This window comes from Homo sapiens, chromosome 4 (genome assembly GCF_000001405.40).
Source record: "Homo sapiens chromosome 4, GRCh38.p14 Primary Assembly".
NCBI classification, from domain to species: Eukaryota; Metazoa; Chordata; class Mammalia; order Primates; family Hominidae; genus Homo; species Homo sapiens.
Window position 1 is genome coordinate 148686926 of NC_000004.12, and position 22853 is coordinate 148709778.

The window sequence follows — 22853 nt, forward strand, 5'->3', positions numbered from 1 at the left end:
TGGTGAATAGTGAAATGGGGGATGAATTATCCCAAATGCCATCTCAATAGTTAGATTGAACTTCAGAGGCTCTTTGTAGCAATCAATAGATTAGCAACATATGCCAAGTCTCTACTGATGCATCTAGATAAGGATGCTAAGGAACTGAGTAGATACTAAACACACACCTAAGTGTGTGTGTGTGTGTGTGTGTGTATACTGTGTCTATGTGTGTGTGTGTATATATATAGTGTATATAAATATACATAGTTTGTGCATATATATGTATATATGCATATATACTGGTATTTGTATATGTATTGTGTATATGTATACATATAGTACAGGTATTTGCGTGAATGTTTATGTGTATATACATTTTTTCCAACCCATTATGATTTTAAAAGCTGTTTAATATGAATCTGGTAATTTAAAAGTGTGAAATCCAGGGATGATATGAGAGGATTTTTTTGTGTAGTGTGACCTTCAGGTACTTGGTTTGGGGCACAGATGAAGATAGAGATGAGGAGAATCTGAGTTGGGACATTCTGAAAGTGATATAGAGGGAGAGATATTCTAGGTATACAAAGTTCTAGTGTATTCAATGGGAGCAGCAACCCCTTACTCATTCACTTCTTAAAAGTCTTCAACTCAGTTTACTGGGAGATCTTCTTTGAAAAAATGCCAATATATTATCCATTTAATTATGTAAATTTAAAATACTTATTTTTTTAAAGCTTACACAGCTATTTTTGTAGATATTATCTGGTTTCACAAAATCAGAGATTTTTAGGTAGTACTTTAATCAGCAACTTTCTTTTCCTGAGTTTGATTCAATTAGTTCTTCAGCAAGAGGTCATGGTCATTGCTGACATTTTCTCGGTTGTAGCATTCTTTCTTTTAGAATCTGAGTCTCTGGACAATAAGAATCTGTGCAACCAGGGAGGGAAAATTAGCTTGTGTTAGATTTCCATATTCCCAGGGAAGTTCATGTCTTCGCTTTGTAAAAGCTCTCCCTGTGGTTTATAGTTTGTGCCTTTCTCCTTTAGGGCTCAAGTGTCTGTTTCCTTCAAAATTTACTGCATTTCTGAAAAGAAAAGCTAGTACAACTATTTTTATGTGGATGTGTCCATACTAGACAAAAATATTTTAACTTCATTCGTATCAAAACCTAAGATATTTGCAGATCTTTTTCATTAGAAGGCTAATGGCTCATTTGAACATCTGTTTCTTTGTTTTCCTTTAGGGATTTCCAACTATTCCCTAACCTCTGAGTGAGTGTGACAAAAATTACTCTACTGCTCTGTGTTAATGTGATATAACATGAAATGTATAATCAGATGCTCCTTTCTAATAGACATCTCAATCTCAGCATATCCAAAGCTGAACTGCTGATATCCAAACCCCAGGCCACATGCCCTACCACCCCCCTCCCCTCTGGCAGCAACCTGCTATTTTCTCCGCCTTTTCAATACCAGTTGATGACAGCACCATCTTTCCAGCAATCCCCATATCACCTTGGCCCACACCATCCTGGTCTACCTTCTCTATCTTACCCTACTTGACTTTTTCTTTTCCCCATAGCACTTATCATCTCGTAACACACTATATGATTTACTCATTCATAATGTGTATTGTCTATTGTCTGTCTTTCTGAATTAGAATTTAAGATTTCTCAAAGGCACAAGGGCAAGGATCTTTGACCCAAATGTCTAAAATAGTGCCTCCTTGGAGGGCAAACAATAAATATTTGTAAATAAAGGATGAAATAAGCAATGAAAATATTCCATAAGAGATTCTTGAGTTGGCTATTTTTATTGTTTGGAAGTAGCTAGAAGTAATCAATATCAAATAATCCCTTGCTGACTATCCAAGTTAGAATTATCCCAGATTTGCTATGATTTGGCTGTAAAAATAAGAGTGAGCTGAGTTCGGATGGTTTCTAAGGACATCCAGCAAGTAAAACAAAGTGTAAGGACTAGAAGAATGCTTTCTAATTTACCAATAGTTAATTTTTGATAGATCTCTGATATGCAACACTTCGAGAACTGGTGCACGTAGAAAAAGACGTTCGCTATGGTCTTGAAAAAAATCCAGTTGATATTTTGCTGCCATTCTTCTAATTCAGTATGGTCACCTTATTCAAAGAGCTCTGCTCTGATCCTGACAATACTCAATACATTTGGATGATTAAATTTTTTTCTGCTTAAACTCTCTCATCTCAGCTGTAGAAATTAGAATTAGGTAGTTTTGCTTTGTTTCTGGCCCTAAGCAAGAAAATAAATTTGTTTTCATTAAAATTTTTCTTAGAACATGGGGGAAAAAGTAATGAGAAGAAAGAATTCATATTTCATTTTCTTTTCAGACAAGACAGAAGCCTATTATTGTTTATAAGATAAATTGTATAGAGAATTTGTGGGATGCCAAAGTTGAATTTTATAGTGAAAAGAATTATCATTTTGGTTTTTCCAGAAAGACTGGCTTTTACTTAATGTGTTTGATTAAAGAGTTTGAATGTCAGATACATTGTTTTGAGTGACATTAATTCATTTTCTATACTTTAGTTTGTAGGACCAGTGTTTCAATTTATATGATGATCTGCTTCAAATTGACATAATAGAAATTGTTAGAGTTTTAGAACCAATGGGACAGGAATAAAATGATTAAACAACTTATAATCTGTGGTTCTATATTCTGATGGAAACCATCTGAAGATTTATACAACTTCAGAATTGGAAGGAACTTGAAGATCTATTTCAAAAAACTAATTTTATATTGGTCGGAGCTATGACTAAGAGACATTCCATGACTTGCCCAAAGGTTTCCCATCACACAGCTAGTTAGTGGCAGGACCAGAGCTAGACCCAAGCATGATGACCAATGGGGCAGAACTTTTTCATGGTGTAGTTTGCTTTATATGATTTTTTCCTTCTTAATATCAGTTTAATTTTATTATTGATATTATCATTGGAATATGAATTCTGTCATGTTTAAAATTTCACTTGTTACTTTTGATGTTTTTAAAAAACATGTTTAAAATAAGTTTTGTGAATATTTGTGCTTTCTTTTTCTGGTTCCTTTTGAAAAAAAAGAGCCCTTGTCTGAATATATATGGTTGCTGTTCATATATTCAAAACCAAGCCTTTCAAGAATTCGAGATATATCATAGTTTATTGTGTTATTTTCCATTCGTGGGATGTTTGCCTCCTGGTTAAATTTCTCTTTTCTTCTGTGGTAGTTATGCTCGACTTACCTTTTCAGTCTCTGCGTTCTGGATGGTGACTGAGCAATCGAAGGACAGTAGAGGTTTAAACCAGATTTAGGTGCTGTGCTAATGGTTGTGTCCATTTTAACTTTCCAGAAGCTGAATTTTGAGCTGAAGGATCTGCGACCTTGGAACCTGACTTTCTGCTTTAGCTTGGCTGTTGAGAACGTTCTTGATTGTGGAGAAGTAATTCCTACTAGGAAGCAATTTGTATCCAAGAGCTATCATGTTTCAAACAGCATTAGTAGAAGCATTTAGCAGTGCTGATCAACTTGGATAAATTTGGAAGAGAAAACAGAGATTTGTAAATTATTATGGGAAACAGAATCTGCAGATTGGTGGGAGGAGGGAAAAAAGACTAGAGGAGGAAGGAAGCCATATCCTAAAAAGACAAGAGCTTGGTTATATACTGGCGGTGTTGTAGGGAGAGAGAAAATTGCACTAAGCTGCTCTAGTGTCCGGCTCCCTCTGGAAAGCACTGTGATTTGGGGTAAAATAGCCTCGGATGGCGAGCAAGCAGAATTAAAGCCCATCAACCCAGGAGCGCCTGGCTGACAAGTCCAGCAGTAATGGTGAGGAGAGACAGCAGTTGATCTGGAATCAACCGAAACCTGGTTCCAGAGCTTGGTAGGTGCTAACTGCAAGGACATACCTTGAGGAAGGAGTTTCTTGCACCAAGAATTGGATCTTCAGGAGGGAGCAAGCTATGATAAGGAGGATGATGAAACACGGGAAGCTGTTAGGCCTGAGCAGGGAAACAAACATACTTTACGATCTGATAGGTCAGCCCGGGAAGGACATAACCCCAGAAATTGTGGGCGATGTAAACTAGCTTGTATATGTTAGGTCTCCCTAGACTTTTCAGTGTGTAGACACAGTGTATCTTGTTAGTATTAGATATGTTCATTATGGCAGGTGTCTGTTAGTAATCTGTCTATTGTCAATCCTTCTCTCTCTGGTTCCCTTTCCCTCATTAGATTTTGCTGGATAGAAGAGTGACTGTACTGCCTATTGTTCCACACTGTTCCATACCCTGCCCACCCAACTTAACAATTGCACCCCCACCCCCATCTCCACCCTCTAGCAAGCTCCCTACCTGGCCCTATTTCTATCCCCTTGGCATTTATCATCATCTAATATTCTATATAATTTACCTACATATTATATTTATAATTTATTATCCATCTTCTCCTCCCGGAATGTCAGCCCCATGAGGGTGGAGGATGTTGTCTGTTCTCAGTTTTTGTTTCCCGAATGCCTAGAACAGTGCGTGAGGGCTTAGGAAGTTATTGAATGACTAAATTTTGACTAAATTGTTGGGCCCCTCAATAAATATCTTGATTAGTGGCATACATCTGATGGTTCTGTCATTCTCTGTTCCTTGCAAGTAGGGCTGCAAAGCCAGATTTTAAAATTAGCATAGTCTCTTGTTTCTCTCTGAGTTGGGGGCAAGTACAACAGGATTGGCCTGAAAGGAGAGAGATAACATAAATTAAGATGGGAGTGGCCTGGGACCCAGAAAGACTGAAGCACAATTTAAAGGTCTTTCTGCTCGAGTTGACTCTAATTCGAAAAGGCCCAGAATTTCCCTCAGTGTCCAGCTTACAGTTAGGAGACCTTGCGTATAGTTTTGTTTCTGTCACAAATGTACTACTTGATGTTGAACAGATTACTGTATTTGTTTCATTGTTTATGAGATGAGGGTAATAAAAGTTTACCTTTTTGTGTTGCATAAAGCTTTTTAAGATAACAACATGAGATACAGTAAAATACTTTAAAAAGTTGAAGATGCTAAACATTTGTAAACACATTATTATTATTAAAGCTTTTATCTTTAAATCTTTTCCCTAAGATACCATATCCCAATGTGTAGGCCAAGATTTTAAGGCTTGATATATAATTGTTTTAGCTAATATTGTTTGCTTAGTTTCTATATGAGACATTTCCTGGTTTAGAATATCAATGAGTTTTTGTATGATACTTATTTTGTATCTTCTTCATTCAGATATGAACATAAGTTACTCCACCGGCAATCAGAAAATGATGTTTGACTATTTATGATCACTGACTTGGGCTGAGAAAATCCTGGATTTGAAGTGAGGAGTGGGATGGAGGTTGCATAGAGCGCCTGTGGGGGAAGCCTTGGCAGGTACCGAGGAATGAGTTTGGCAGGAACTAGCCCATCAGGTGCATGGGCCATAAAATGAGGCCATGAGGGACGCAGTGTTCCTGATGACAGTGTTAAATCCGTTTCAAATAAAGTGAACTGTTTGCTTAAACTTTCCTGTGTTCCCTCAGACCTTTGGCGCTGAGAACCAACTCAATATAGAAATTAGCTCACCCAGAGACTGCGGGGCAGAAAGACTCAAAGTACAGACTGTTGTGTCAAAATTGTGTTTAGTAACACAAAACTCTCAGGAAATATTTGCCGTGTTGCTTTTTAGAACTTTCTAGTGTGAACAAAATTTCCTCTTCTTCTGTTACAGCTCTATTATATCTTATCAATCATATTCTTTTAGCATAACATTTGAAACAAAGTTTTTACCTGATGAAATACATATGTATTCAGCTTTCTGACAAACCTCTGCTCTTTTAATTTTAATTTTTTGTTAAAATTATGCAAAGAAAATTGCATCCCAAGGAAGCATTGATTATACCTATTCTCATGGTTATTTCGTGTTTTATTTTTATTTTTATGTGAATTCTTTTTCGACGACCTTTTCTTCAGTGAAGATTGTTTCAAGTAAAGCTGTCTGATATAGAGACATGGTTGCTAGGGAGACAGAGTCATAATGGCTGATGTTACCAGGGAAGGTAAAGCGGTGAGTCCCTGATTATAGAAGAGAACAATTTTTCATTCTCCTTGAAAGCGAGTCTTCTTTATACACAGATGACAAGTTCACTAACTCAGTAGAAATAAGACTTCAGAAAGAAATATTAAATTTTAATGTTTCCTCAGAGTGATGTAAACCTAAAGACATTTTTTTAGGATGAATGAATGAGTTTATGCTCACCGATCTCTCAATCTGTGGTGAATATTCTTTTGGAAAAACCAACATGGTGCAAATCTTTTGGTTTATAAAACTAGGTAAGCTCTCTAAGCCCTCGGTCTCATCATCTGGGTTGGATGAGGAATCTTTGTTTAATATTTCTCCCATATTCATATTTGGTTATGTGCAGATCAGTAAATACTTACTGTGATCCACTATGTGTGAGGCATATTACTGGGGACTTTTCATACATTTTCTAATTGAATTCCATAATCCTGATGCAAGGTATTGTCATTTTAATAAATACTAGAAAGTATTCTATGCAGTGGAACAGGAGGGATCTGAATCCTGTTCAGTGCCACTAAGTTCTTTCTGTTGAAACATCTCGTGTAATTCTATAGCTAATGAAGAATTGAATAAATACACAAATATTCCAATTTCATGTAAGCAACAACAGCACAGGTCCTTTTTCTGTTAGTTTTACCAATACTTTTGAAAATCCATAAATGATAAAGTTTAATGAAATAATTTTAGGAGATTATCCTGGGTTTTGAAAAACAAAATGTGCTAAACCTTACTTAAATTTACCATTCAAAAGCTTGATTGGTTCCTTATTGTTTGGGTCTCCTTTAGAATGGTTAAAAAAACCCTCACAATGTAACTCAACTGAAAAGAAAAACTTACTTAATATCTTGTATGTAATATTGTGCTAGAATGGGTAAAACTGCCATGAAGTTCTTTATTTATATAAAGAATTCAGTGGATATATTATCAGATTATAAAAGGAAAGCATTTTTGTAGAAATGCCCCTTCAATATTTTAAATTGGCAAACAGTCAATCCTATCACCCATATGTTGACCTTCAATTTCAGATGTCTTCATCTGCAGTACCCTAGAACTCTTTAGTGACGTTCCAAGGCCAGAGCCAAAGAGCATCTGCAGCTTAGTCTGAGATAAGGGAGTTTTCAGATTACGGCATCTGACCAAAGTACATGGGATCAACCACTGTCCTTTAAGAAAAGGTTGCCACTGTTTTGCTTCATATGTGAAGAAGGCATGAGTCAAGCTGAAGAATAAATTGGCACCCCATTAGATTGAGAAGCCACATCTTGTAGCCCAGAATATCTTTTAGAAAGCAAAACTGGATTAAAAAAGAGAAAGAAATGTTCTTGGAGAGCAAGAATTGCTCTTGGAGTGCAAGTTGTATGACCTGAGTGAGATTTATTGAGGCAATTGTGTCTGGGTTTTCAAAAGTACTGGATAATTTTATGATCACCACTAGCCACTTAGAGCCTGGTCAGTGGAGATATGAGAGAAAGGTTATTTAAGGCTTCTGAATATGAGCTTATTGCCCCTGGGAATTAGGATTGAGAGTCTTTTCCATGCAGTGCTTTTTCCTATGCTATGCTATGCTATACTATTTTTTAAGAAGCAAAAAAGAAAAAAGTTAGATCCCTTCCTCTGAAATACCTTTTGCTGATTGCTATAAGGGGCAGGACATTTGATTAGGTGGACTAGCTCAAGTATAGCAAATGCCACCCTACTTTAATAGATGTTACTTAGAAACATAGTGTTTTGGGATCACTACCTTAATGGTTATCTACAAATTTAACACTGCCAATCTCTTATCTCCCAGAGGGCGTGGGCAAATTTTTAAATGACTCCAATTTTAGTGTTTGTGACACTGTGCATTAGATGTAAGCCTTTGCAGCAGACCTGAATCTTGAACGCAGACCGAGATAAGAGATTTATTTAAAAGACAAGACTTGTTTCTCCAACTGCTGGATGCTCATAAAACGTGGCAATCAGATAGAGCTGTGTGGGTTTTAAACAAGGAAGAGAGAGGAGGTATTCTTCCACACACTTTGTGATTTTTATCTATAAACCAACTTTCAAGGAAAAGCCTTATAGTCACAGTAAGATGCCATATCTACGCAAGTTATTAAGGGAAATAGTGACATTAATCTGTAAGATTTTGTTAAATGAGCCAGTTTTACTGTTTTAAGGGATTCAATTGATTTAGAGTCAAAATAGTCAAATTATTTGTGTAAATTTCCCATATTGACATAGTATACGGATTATATGGGTATGTACACTTCACAAAGCATCCAGAAATTAAGCAGGAGGCCTTGTGTATGTTTAATATGGGCCTCATATAGAACAGAAAATTATACATTCAATTCAATCCCAAGATATCTATTGAGTCTTTATTTTATGTCAGGCATTGAAGCTGTGACTATGGATTGGCTACGGAGAAAAACAATTCTACCATTAAAAAAAAAGCATATTTACTGAGTACAACACTGCTAGTGAGACAGATTGTACAAAACAGATCAGGATTATTTGACCTTAGTTGCTATGTCAGCCTTCATTACCTATTCTAAAGCATGTAGATATTGGTCTGTTACAGCAAAGACCCAAGAGAACTGCATATTTTTAGGTTATTAATCACAAAATTAAAAAAAAATGATTTCATGAACATGTAAAATCTTCTTTGTTCTTTGGACACACAGAAATTATTATTGCTACATTTTTTCTTTTCTTTTTATTCTTTTTTAATAGGCAGTAGCTATAATTGATTCAGCACTACTTTACCAGAATAAGTAAAGGTGTATTTGCCTTGCATGATATTAAATTAAATCTGTTTCAGAGATAAACAACTTAAAATTTAATGCTTCACACTCAAGAGTGCGTCTGTGCCAATATTTAAATAACACAATACATCTATCTTTCAGACTTTGATTCAATGTTTTGGTCTTCTTTGGTTTTAGGCTTTTATTGAAAGCTTGAAATGTATCTAATCCTTCTCTTTTCTGGAAAGGTGAGAGTATTGCTCCAAACTTTGCTCAATTAAAGAAATTGTGCAAATCTTATATCAGATTCTCCTACTGAGTTATTTATTTGACCAGTTTAGAGCAAGACTTAGTTTGCCTCATGATTAACATAAGGCAAATAATATAATATGGCGTTACTTGTATTGTTCTTTCAGTATATTTGATAGGAGTATAGATTGACCACAGCATCTAATATGTTCTTATAAAGAAATTTGTTTCATGTCCTTCCTCACCTATGTGAATCACTCCCATTCCCCAAATAACTGAAGGTGAGGCATTCCTTCTAGGATTTTTAAATGAATATAGTTATTTCTTTTTCATTTTTCATATATCAGATGAGCCAATGGAGTGTGACTAGAATACATTTTCCTTTTCAAGAAATTTTTTCTTCTTTATATTGGCAAATATTCCTGCTGTACTACCTCCTTCTTTATGGAAAGTGTGTGTGTGTACATATAGTTTGTATTATATGTATAATACGTAGATACTTTATGGAGAGAGAGAGGAAAAGTATGTGTGTGTCTATACATATATACATATATATACACATATATGTATAGACACACACACACACACAGATTATCCTTGACATAATGAAGTTACATCCCAATAAACTCATTGTAAATTGAAAATATCATATGGCAAAAATGCATTAAATATGCCTAACCTACTGCACATCATAGCTTAGCATAACCTACCTTAAATATATAGTCAGAACACTTACATTAGCATACAGTTAGGCAAAATCATTTAACACGATAATTTATTATTTTATAATAATGTGTTGGATGGCTCACATAATTTATTGAATATTATACTGCATGTGAAAATCAGCAGGTTGTATGGTTACTCGAAGTATGATTTCTATGGAATGCCTATCACTTTCCCAGCCCTTTTAATGTTGAAAAATGGTTAAGTTGAACCACCATAAGTTTGGGAACCATCTGTACATATATGTGTGACACAAGCATTTTGCCTCATGAGACAAGGAAGTGTAAGAAAAAAAATTAGGAACCTACCATTATTTCTTCCATTTGGGTAAGTTTCTAAAGCCTAAAGATTTCTAAACTTGGGCAAGTTTCTAAACCTTTAAGAACTGCAGTTTCTTTATTTGCAAAACAGAGCTAATCGTATCTACCTATTTTGGGTTTCATGAAGTTTAAATTAATGTGCAAAGCAAATCGATTATGACAAATTGTAGAAAAGTGTCAGCCTTTTCCTCCTTAATGTTAGTTAGTGAGTATATTAACAGGACAAAGCAAATTATTCTTTACTGTTTTCCATGAAGATCCGTGAGAAATAGTATGACTATGTGTTACATTTTTAATATATAAGATTGTCAATCTGAAGAAATGGGATTTAGTACTAGGAGATAATGATGGTATTGTTTAACATGTTTTCTCAGATGTAATCAAAGTACACTCATTTGAAATTGTATTAACCATTGAAACTACTCTCTAGTTTGACAAATTATTTCAGTGAGTGGAGTTGGTTTTGAACATTGTATTTTTCCCCCTGAAAATATTGTGTACAACCAAAATGTATATTTTTTACCATGCAAATACCCAGTTCATAATTGTGCCAGGAAGACTTCTTGATGAGTTTAAATACAACACAACCCTCAGATGTAGCAGTTCAAATTGTAATCTATTAAACATTTATAAGTAGCAGGCATTTGTGGTGGATAGTCTCCAGTGACGGTCACCTCAATCCCTCTCTTCCCTGTACATGTCTGCTGCTCTTCCCACCAAGAGATGGAGTCTTATTTCCATCTCCTTGAATCTAGGCTTGCCTTGGTGACTAGTGTGACTAATAAAATGGGGCAGAAATGATGCTCTGGAGCCTCCAAGGCTAGGTTATAAGAAGTTTCATAGCTTCTTTGTTGATCTTTTGGGATGTTTCCTCTCAGAATCCATCTGCTGAGCTGTGAGAAATCCACACACATGAAGAAACCATGTGTAGGAGCCCCTGTTGGCAGCCCCAGCTGAGCCCCGGTTGGCCACCATTATCTACTGCCAGCCTTGGATGACCAGCTCAGTCAAGGCTGCCTGTGGCTATTGGACTGAAACCACATAAGAAACGCCAATCATAGAGATAATAATAAATTGTTGTTTTAAGCCACCAAGTTCTGGGATAGCTTATTACATACAATAGAACAGCCTTATAAGCAAATTACATGGTGACTTATACAAACATGTTCACATAAAGATGCAGTATGTGTTATAGGAAACCTCAAAATATTAAACAGTTTATGCCCTTAATAGGCCCAAATTCTGTTTTTTATTTCAATGGGATCAAGTTTCAAAAACATAGTGAATGTATGGTGTTAGATTTGAGGGAGAGAATTGAAATACAGCATTTTGGAACTCTAACCTTCGTATACATCCATCCATTCATTTGAATATTGATTATGTACATATGCAAAGCAATATACCAGGTGCTATGGGGGATAAAGGAATGAATCAGAAAGCTATACTAATATTAGCATTTTGGAAGCCCCTCCTTTTCCTCCCTGAAGACAATAAAACAGCATTCAGATTTCCAGCTGAGTTTTCATTTGTTCATTTCCATACTTTTGACCATTTTTTCATGTTATTAGTTTCTTTGAGTGTTTGGAAATGTAAAAAGGAAATTGAAGAATGTGGCTAAATACACAATGACATAGTAACCTTAAAACAAACAAACTAGTAAGCAGTCTAGAATTTCGATGAAGATTTGTATGTTGTATTTTTTCCTCAAAAACATATTTTTTTCACCCCATAATCTTGCTGTTCTTTCAGCGAGATTTATATTCATGATCTGGTATAAATGACAGGATGGATCATAGATTATTTTGTAGCTCAGATGCTTTAGATGTTATAAACCAACTGCTTATTGCTTTCAAGTATTGTCACTTTGCTAAGAGCCTGAAATTTGAAGGGAGAGAAGTTGGACTCTACTTCTGACTCTGACAATTATTATCTTTTCACCTAGGGTAATCTGGAAAACTCACTAAGCCTAAGTTTCATTATCTATAAGTAAAATGTAAAGATGATATTGGTATCCAAATACTATTGGGAATATTTGTTGTAATCATTCATGTAAAGTACTTGCAGGGGTTCTAGCACATACTGAGAGACACAATATTTTTTCTGAGATCATGGTCATGCGTGATTACATTACATTTTTTAGAACAGAAAAAGAAATGGTTGTTAAGAGTTCTGTGCAATTTTATTTAGGTTCCACAGTGAATCACTGGGGGCAATTTAAGAATTATTTAGACCTATTTACTTCTTACAAATGGTTTTAAAATTTAAAATAATCTTTTCAAAAGCAGCACAGGCATTCTTAAAATGCAATTCCATGCAGATAGACCACTTGTCTGGTTGAGGTGGGGATGGGGAACAGTCTTACTTTGCACAGTGGTTCTCTCATGACAAAACTCTAATGGCTTAGTGAAGTCTAGTTTAAAAACTACTACATGGGCCAGGCGTGGTGGTTCATGCTTGTAATCCCAGTGCTTTGGGAGGCTGAGGTGAGTGGATCACTTGAGCTTAGAAGTTTGAGAGCAGCCTGGGCCATATGGTGAAACCCTTTCTCTACAACAAATACAAAAATTAGCCCGGTGTGGTGGGGTGCATCTGTAGTCCCAGCTACTTGGGAGGCTAAGGTGGGAGGATCACTTGAGCTGAAGAGGTCGAGGCTACAGTGAGCAGAGATGACACCACTGCACTCCAGCCTGGGCAACAGAGTGAGACTCTGTCTCAAAAAAAATAGTAATGTATTAATATTGGCTCTTCAATTTTATCAAATGTACCATACTACTGTTAATAATGCAAAATGTTAATAGTAGGGGAAACTGCAGAGGTTGCAGTGGGCTGAGATGGTGCCATTGCACTCCAGCCTGGATGACAGAGTGAGATCCCATCTCAAAAAATGAAAACAAAAACCAACAACCAACCAAACTACTACACTAGGCTATTATTTCTATGTTTGTAGCTCCATTTCTTTCTAGTCCTGCTTTTCCATGTGTTTTAAGCATTTTGAACCATGTATTAGTTTAAATGTCCTCTGCCATTCCTTGCCTTCCTATCAGTGTTTATGTTACTATCTCCACCTGCTTAATCCTAACCTGTGCTTTTGCTTTTCAGCTGTAAACGTCATCACACCAGCTTGGAACTGAAAGGATGTCAGGGGAACATGTTTTAAGAAAACAACCTTAAAATGCATTAGCTTCCTATTACAAACCTTTTATCCCAATTAAAAAATGGAATCAAACATGTTTCACCTTAATTGCTCAAGCAGCCTGAGCTACATGTTCATCACATAGTTTTAAGTTGTATAATTTGGGGTCTCTCCAAATACATTCTAGGGAAGTTGGTAAAGGCACTATCAGCTGGTGAACACAGATGCTATTTCATTAACATATTTAGCCAAATCTTGATGAATCCTAATTTATATTTGCTTAAACCGGAAGTCTAATCTTTTTAAGTTCATTTTCCCAGACTTTCAGAAATCCCCAGTGATGTTTACACATTCATGAAATTTGCCTAGTTATAGGTCTTACTTCAGTAAGTCCAGTCCAAACCCCACAGACCTTAGAGTTGTTCCCTAATTCTTGTGCTCTACCCTCAGGCTTGACCACTGGTGTCACTACTGAGGCTAGACATCCTTTATATTTGACATGGGTAGCTTGAACCCTGCTTCTGCACCTGTAAAGTATAAATGAGAATGTCCCATGTGTACCTGGTTAGAGAGAGGAGCTGAAAGTTCGCTTTAACAAGGAAGTGCTATAATAGTGGTAAAAGCTCTTTTAATTAAAAAAATCAAGTTATAAGAATAAAGTAGGCACCACATTACCTGACTTCAAATTATACTACAAGGCCATAGTAACTGAAACAGCATGGTACTGATATAAAAAGAGACACAGAGACCAATGAAACAGAATGGAAAATCCAGAAACAAAGCTACATGTTTACAGCTAACTGATCTTCAACAAAGCTAACAAGAACTTACACTGGGGACAGTCTCTTCAATAATTGGTTCTAGGAAAGCTGGACATTCATATGCAGAAGAATGAAACTAGACTCTTACCTACCTCTCACTCCATATAAAAATAAATTCAAAATGAATCCAAAACCTAGATAAGACCTGAAACTATAAAACGACTAGAAGAAAACATAGGGGAAATGATTTAGTATGTTGGTCTAGGAAAATATTTTCTGAATAAGACCTCAAAAATTGTTGCTCACAGGAAACAAATGCAAAAATAAACAAATGAGATTATATTAAATGAAAAATCTTCTGCACAGCAAAGGAAACAATCAACAAAGTGGAAAGACAACCTAAAGAATGGGAGAAAATATTAGTAAAGTATTAATCTGAGAAGGGAATCATACAAGAAACTTAGACATCTCAACAGCAAGAAAAAAAATAAAAAACCAAACAATCCGATTAAGTAATGGGCAAATGATCTGAAGAGACAGTTCTCAAAAGAAGACATACAAATGATGGTAAATATATGAAAAACATGCTGTTATTTTTAACTTTTCTGTTATGTTGCATCTCTTTTTTTTTATACTTTGAGTTCTAGGGTACATGTGTACACTGTGCAGGTTTGTTACATATGTATACATGTGCCATGTTGGTGTGCTGCACCCATTAACTCGTCATTTACACTAGGTATGTCTCCTAATGCTATCCCTCCCCCATTCCCCTCTCCCCCGGTGTGTGATGTTCCCCACCCTGTGTCCAAGTGTTCTCACTGTTCAGTTCCCACCTATGAGTGAGAACATGCGGTGTTTGGTTTTCTGTCCTTGAGATAGTTTGCTCAGAATGATGGTTTCCAGCTTCATCCATGTCCCTGCAAAGGACATGAAATCATCCTTTTAATGGCTGCATAGTATTCCATGGTGTATATGTGCCACATTTTCTTAATCCAGTCTATCATTGATGGACATTTGGTTTGGTTCCAAGTCTTTGCTATTGTGAATAGTGCCGCAATAAACATATGTGTGCATGTGTCTTTGTAGCAGCATGATTTATAATCCTTTGGGTATATACCCAGTAATGGGATGGCTGGGTCAAATGGTTATTTCTAGTTCTGGATCCTTGAGGAATCGCCACACTGACTTCCACAATGGTTGAACTAGTTTACAGTCCCACCAACAGTGTAAAAGTGTTCCTATTTCTCCACATCCTCTCCAGCACCTGTTGTTTCCTGACTTTTTAATGATTGCCATTCTAACTGGTGTGAGATGGTATCTCATTGTGGTTTTGATTTGCATTTCTCTGATGGCCAGTGATGGTGAGCATTTTTTCATGTGTCTGTTGGCTGCATAAATGTCTCAAAAAGTGGGCAAAGGAGGTATCTCTTATAACTAATAAATTGTTGGAATTTCAAAAATTTATCATAATTTTTTTGTTTTTTAAATAGAACTATTAGTCCATATAGATGATGAAATTACTAGTGTTTCAAATTGTTCTGTCTTTTTTCTCCTTTCTTGCCTTTTTAGGAGTATTTTTGATTATTCCATTATTCCCCTTTAGTACTTTGAAAGTTGGACGTTATGTTTCCTTTCTTTTAGTCACTTTCTTAGAAATTATAATGTGAATAATTAACACATCAGACGTTAATGTCAAAAGATACCTTTACCTCTTTCCCAAGCAATACAAGTCTTAAAATGTCTTAATTCCATTACTCTTCTCTTGATTTATGTTATTTTGCTACACATCTTATTTTTATCCCCAATAATGCATTATGATTATTATTGGCTTTATATAGTAAAAATTAATTTATGTTTACTCACATAATTCCTAATTTCTTTGCTGTTTTATTTTTTCTTGCTTTTCTGACATTCCACTGGGATCACTTTCATTTTTTCTGAAGAATATAATCTAAAATTTTATTAGTAAAGATCTGCTACTGGTAAACTTTCTTAATTTTTGTTTGCAAGAAAAATGCCATTTTTCCCCCTTTTGAAAAAATATAGTTTCTTTGGATATAGAATTCTAGATTGAAAGTCAATCTTTTCAGCCCATTAAAAGTATTATTCCATTATCTTTTGGTTTCACTAATGTTCTTGAGAAGTTAGCTATCAGTCTAACTATTGATCTTTTGAAAGTAATCTTTTGTTTTTCTCTGGCTTCTTTAATATCTTTTCTTTGTCTTTGGTGTTGTTCTTCTTTACTATAATGTGCCATTTCTCCTGGGTGGGGATATGTTAGACTTCTTTAATCTAAAGATTGATGTCTCTTATCACTTCTAGAATATTTTTCGTCATTATCTTCCCAAATATTGCCTCTGCCTCATTCTCTCTTACTTCTCCTTCTGGGGCTCTGATAAAAAATTTATTATACGTGCTAACTCTAATTCTATCCTTAATTTCTCTTAACTTTCCTTTGTCTATCCCCCAACCCCCATTTACTTGTTTCTTTATGTTGCATAAGGAAGTTTTTTTTGACACATTTTATTCAGATAGCAATCTGATCACACATAGTCCAAGAACACTCAAATAATAAATCAAATATAATTAAATGTTAAAGTTTGGTCTTTAAACATTATAGCCAATGATGACACACTTGCCTCTGATCTCTCCAATATAAAAGCACATCCATACCTCAGTGGCCACCAAACCATTCAGCACAGCTTCCTTAACTGTGAGCTGTTTGAAACTAACAATTTGAGCACTACTATTTTTTAAGGCGCTGAATAGTTCTAGGTATATTAGCAGGGGGTGGAGGAACCAGCTCAACCTTGGTGTCATACCAAAATGTGGCCAATCAAACCTTCAAGTAAGTCATAGCAGCATTCACCAGTGTTGAGGCCTTCACTACAAAGTTAGGGACAAATTGGGCCATCGTTCTAAGATGAAACGTTTGTCACCCCAAATGACCAGCTGAATCAGTTTCTTCTAATTTATTTTACGCTGCTTAATTTTCTGCTCAGCTGTGTTTAATCTGCTCATGAACACATCAACTGAGTTTTAAAATGTAAATAAAAATATTTTTTAAAATTCTAGAATATCTGCTTTATCCTTTCTCAGATTTGCTGGGTTACTTTTTATAACTCCTCATAGATATATTAATTCTCCTCTTTAATAAGCATTTTATAATATATACCTAATGATTCTAATATCTTAAGTCTCAATCTGTTTTGGCTTCTTTTCTTCTCATGGTGCCTTGTTTCAGTGGGTACATAGTTTTAATTCCGAGTTGCTCATTTTTCTTGGGAAATTATTTGTAGGAATACTTTGAGTCCTTGGGATAAAAATGAAAATAAAGATAAAGTCCAGAGATGACTTTTGTTTGTTTCTCTCAAATATCCGAGGGAGCTGTGCCTAGGATCATTGTAAACTAAGTTTACAGTTTAAGGTCTTTTGGACCACACAGGTGATATGAATTAGAGCTATAAATCTATACCAAGGTTGGCTTATGATTATAACCTTTCAGGGAAGATTTATCCCTTTTGCTCTCTTTGGTATCACTGGTATCAAGACATGTTTCCTTGGAGCCCCCTATAGGTAGGGAAAATAGAAGGTGGGAAGAGCTTACTTCTGATTCACTTTCACTGAGTGTGTAGCCACTTGGGGTCTCAAATTATTGGTTGGGAATTGTCTCTTATAGGCTTCCTCACCTGGGTTAACTCTGCTTTGTTTTTAATCCACCTGAGTCCATGAGGCTGTGAAAATGGAAATCAAGTTTATTGGTTTAGAAACTGTGTCTATGACAAAAGCAGCTTTAGTCCTTTGTTCACTATTTAGATTCTCTCTTCCACTTAGTTTTTGATTGATAATACGTTACTATTTTTTCATATCATACATATTTTTAACATGACATTTTATATTTAACCCAGTATTTTAGTTGTTTTCAAAAGGTTAATTCATCCCTCCAAATTCCCAGCCACCATAGTATCTGAAATATAAATCTCCATTTCTTTCTATACTAGTAGTGAATCACTTAATCATATGCAGACTTGTCACATCTCTTGCTTTGTTATTAATAGTTATTGGATTGTATGACATTTTATGTGTATATGCCATCATTCCAATTGCATTGTAAAATGCCCAAAACAAGTTTGTTATGACCTGCATGGCACCTAAACAGTGCTGTTAACATCACCGTTGCCCAGCATATGTTGGCTGATTGAAAAAAATGGGTTACTATTTCTTCAAGGAGTATTCTGCTTTTTGTTTATCAGAATAGCACCAGTGACCCACTCGCAGTAAGTCATGCTCTTTAAGTTGTTTTCTATATCAGTGCTGATCTATCTCTACTCCTAGATGCCATTTGTCACTAGGGGATTACATTCATGAAAGGGAGGAGATTAGGAAATGTGAGTGTTACTTGTGAGTGTTTGTGAGATGGTAGTGGCAGAGATGGCTAGTTTTCTTCCAAAATCTGTTCTATTTTTCTTCCATTACGATAGGGTTTTTAGCTAGAAATCCAGCTTCCTAGAAAAATAAAAATATACTGGCCAGCTTCCTTTGTAGTGAAGTATTAAATGTGGCTGTATTCTGGTCAATGGAATATAAGTGGAATTATCCTGTGACAGCTTCCAGGATCCTTCAATGTGAGTCAGTTTGTAGGTACCCATGAATGCTTGTTTCCCTTTTCCTCTAACTGGCACAGCATATATGTAAGGCTGCAATTCCATCTCAGACCATGAGTGAGGACAGAATCCATAGGATGCCAGAACAGAAAGTTGGAAGGAGCCTGGGTCCCTAAGGGCTTTGTGAAACAGGGCTGCTCTACTGTCTTCCTGGATTGTTTACCTCTAAAATTGTGCCTGAAAGACAAACTTCTAGCTTGTTTAAGCCACTGTTATTTTGGGTTTCTGATAGTCACATCTGAACATTATTCTAACAAATCTAGGGAGTAAACAGTAAATCGCAGAAATTATGTAGCCAGGAAGTTTGTTTATAAATGTCTAGGGTCCATGATATAACATTTAGCCACACTTAATTTAGAGATTTTATCAATCCTTAGACAGGTAGGATTGCATAGTAAATAGTGTAAGCTAATTGTATAATATGTTTTATACATTTAAATGAAATGTATAGTAATGTTACAGTTTTCAGTATATACTTTGAGTACCATTATTCTGTAATTTTAAAATTATCTTTTCAATATCTCCACATTAAATGCCTTTTCTGTAATATTATTGATAATTCTGTGGAGTAGATTAAACCACAGAGCAAGTATTCTCAGTCTTGGTTGAATTTCATGTCATAATGCAGTGAATGGCTCAGGAACCATGAGACATTTTTTAAAACATAACATGACTAGGTATTTGTGATTTATATTCATGCATATGAATTTTCCCACTAAAACAAAATAAACTGACCAGAGGCATTTCTACAATGTTGATTTTTTTGTTACACCATTGAAATATTAATATGATTATCATTTCAGCAACTTTGATTAATTTTATAAAAATAAGGGAAATATAAAGATTTTACCAAATCTTTCAGAAACAGATAATTGCCATGTAATATAGCTATTCTGAGACTTAGAACTGATTCACTCTTCAACTCATTCTATAGGATGGCAAAATGTTGCTGTTGCTTTCAAAAGAAGATAGCCTGCAAATGATAACTAAAGGCAATTTTCACTTATAGACAGGTATCAAAGTCTTAAATAAAATAATAGCAAATTGAAATGGCAGTATATAAGTCATCATACATCATGACCAAGTGAGTTTTCTTTTAGGTTTGCAAGTGTGGTTCAATATTAAGTGATAATGGTTTGGCTCTGTGTCCCCACCCAAATCTCATGTTGAATTATGAACTTCAGTGTTGAAGGAGGGGCCTGGTGGGAGGCAATTGGGTCATAGGAGCAGATTTCCACCTTCCCCCTTGCTGTTCTCCTGATAGTGGGTGAGTTCTCACCAGATTTGATTGTTTAAAAGTCTGTGGCACTTCCCCCTTATCTCTCTCTCCTGCTCTGCCGTGGTAAGATGTGCTTGCTTTCCCTTTGCCTTCCACCATGATTGTAAGTTTCCCGAAGCCTCTCAGCCATGTTTCCTATACAACCTGAGAACTGTGAGGCAATTAAACCTCCTGTCTTCATGAATTACTCAGGTAGCTCTTCATAGCAGTGTGAGAACAGACTGATACATTAGGAAAGCCACAAAGCTGGGTACAGCGGCTCACATCTGTAATCCTAGTACTTTGGGAAGCTGAAGTAGGAGGATTACTTGAGCCCAGGAGTTTGAAAAGCTACCAGGGTAATGCATTTTACTAATTTTTTTTTTGGTGGGGGGGGGGGGACGTTTTGCTCTGTCTTCCAGGCTGGAGTGCAGTGGCACAATCATGGCTCACTGCAGCCTTGACATCCTAGGATCAAGCAGTCCTCCCACATCAGCCTCCCAAGTAACTAGGATTAGAAGCAGTGCCACCACACCTAGCTATTTTTTAAATTTTTTTTGTAGAGATGGAGTCTCACTATGTTGCTTAGGCTGGTTTTAACTCCTGGTCTCAACAAGCAATCCTCCCACCTCAACCTCCCAAAGTGCTGGGATTACAGATGTGAGCCATGTAATTCCAGCACTTTGGAATTCCAAAGCACTTTGGAGTTCCAGAGTGCTGGAATTACCCAGCCCATTTTACTAATAAATTTAAAGGGTGAGGGGATGATAACTCAATAGATACTGAAAAATCTCTAATCCTAATACAATTTCCTAGAAAGATAGAAATAAAGAAAAAATCCTTTAACTATAGTGTATTTATGAAAGATCTTAAGCATGGATTATACTTAATGTTAAAAAATTAGAAATATTTATATTATAGCTAAGCACAAGACAAGAATATTCACTATAACTGGTAATAGTCTACGTTGGAGAGAAGTCTTGCTCAATTCAATGAATTAAAAAATATAAATTATATAAAGTATATATTTTATAATATTGTTTATATTATACAATGTGTAATAATTTACATGTTTCTATTTTTTTTTTTTTTTGGAGACAGAGTCTCGCTCTGTTGCCCAAGCTGGAATGCAGTGGCACCATCTTGGCTCACTGCAACCTCCGCCTACTGAGTTCAAGCAATTCTCCTGCCTCGGCCCCCTGAGTAGTTGAGTAGCTGGGACTACAGGCGCATGCCACCATGCCCGGCTAATTTTTTTTGTATTTTTGGTAGAGGCAGGGTTTCACCATGTTGACCAAGCTAGTTTCAAACTCTTGACCTCAGGTGATCTGCCCGCGTTGGCCTCCCAAAGTGCTGGGATTCCAGGCAAAGTGCTGGGATTACAGGCATGAGCCACTGCACCCAGCTACATGTTTCTATTACTTATATAAGAAATAGAAATATTATGTAAATATATATATTAAATAGCAATATATATTACAGAGTTATATGTTATATATGTAATGTGAATATACATATATAATATCATTGATGCAAAAAGAATAGAGCAATGAGACTCTAATGGAATCTAGAAATATATTCATGATTATATGAAACTTTAAAATGTAATACAGGTGGCATTCCAGTTTACTTGAGGAATGACTTCCTCAACAAAGCAGAACTCCTGCAATCTAAGAAGGAAAAAACCTGAGGGATTTGACTCTAAAAAACTCAATGAGACAAACAAACAAAAAAACTGGTTATGATAAAAGGTAAATTTAAAAGACAAGCAGTAAAGTAGAATGAATATGTGTATGTGTGTATAAAAAAGAATTATCCTATTATCCAAAACCATCTCTATGTTAATAATAAAATTAAACTAATAAAGAGAAGGGCAAAGAATATGAAACACTGATGCATGCACTTCTGAAATGATTTTAACTCCGTTATGAATACTGGGGAAATAAAATTAATAAAAATGTTTTCTCCCATAATTTAAAAAAAGTGAAAAAAATTAATAGTGTACAGGTTTGGTGAAACTGGGGAAATGGTAACTCTGAATATACTGTTTGTAGAAATACACATTAGTAAAGACTCTGGTTAATCTATCAGATTTTTAAAATGAGTTTAATTCTTGAACCAAATTTCAACTTCTGTGCACATGAGTATTGACTTACGTACTGGTGTAACCAAGTGCCCAATTTTTAAAGTTTTATCCTTTTTCCTTTTTTTTCTTTGTGTTCACTTAACCACTAGGCACCTCCTCACATTGGTAGCATATCTGATTATACGTTTGCTTAAAAGTTCCAGAGGTTAAATCTTGAAACAATGCAAGCACCTGTGGAAATCTCCCGCACCAGGAGATTGCTTCAAGGCTACAGTTAATTTACAACCCCACTGAGCCTAGGGTGATGCCAGCCCATTCACCAGATGGGGCAATAACGCAAGACAAGTCATCGAACCAAGTCACAGCATAGACCAGCACTGCCTTGTCCCCTGCATATCCTCCCTTTCCCAAACTTCCCCTTTTCAAAATTCTGGCACTGAGCTTGGAAATTTAAAGTGGTTCCATGAAGGCAAGAGCCTGGACCATTTTCGCCATTGCTAGGTTTCGTTCATAATAAAGTTATTCTCCTTCTATGAATTGCTAATTGCTAATTGGTTGTCAAGCGGTGAGCAGGTGAACCTGCATTTGGCAACGCTAGGATATTCAGTGCAACAGAACTTATAATCAGGAGTAATTGAGACTGCCTAAATGTAAATCAATAATAAAATGATTAAATGGAAGTTTTATTTATTTTAGAGACAAGGTCTCGCTCTGTTTACCAGGCTAGAGTACAGTGGCACAGTCATAGCTCACTATGGCTTCAATCTCCTGGAATCTTCTTGCCTCAGCCTTCTGAGGTGCCAGGACTGCAGATGTGCCCCACTATATCCAGCTATTTTTTAAAAAATTTCA

At 35.8% G+C, this 22853-nt stretch overlaps 2 long non-coding RNA genes and 1 pseudogene across 2 annotated transcripts in view; 2 read left to right on the forward strand and 1 right to left on the reverse strand.

Annotated features, from left to right (window-relative positions):
* Positions 1–22853, forward strand: part of LOC107986195 (uncharacterized) — a 496338-nt gene that overhangs the window by 150405 nt on the left and 323080 nt on the right. The gene's annotated exons all lie outside the window — the stretch shown is intronic.
* On the forward strand, positions 321–13325 carry LOC124900797 (uncharacterized). The gene is made up of 2 exons (XR_007058325.1): positions 321–6332; positions 13199–13325. It is a non-coding gene; the product is annotated as an uncharacterized LOC124900797 (long non-coding RNA).
* ATP5MGP4 (ATP synthase membrane subunit g pseudogene 4) lies at positions 16505–16951 on the reverse strand (annotated as a pseudogene).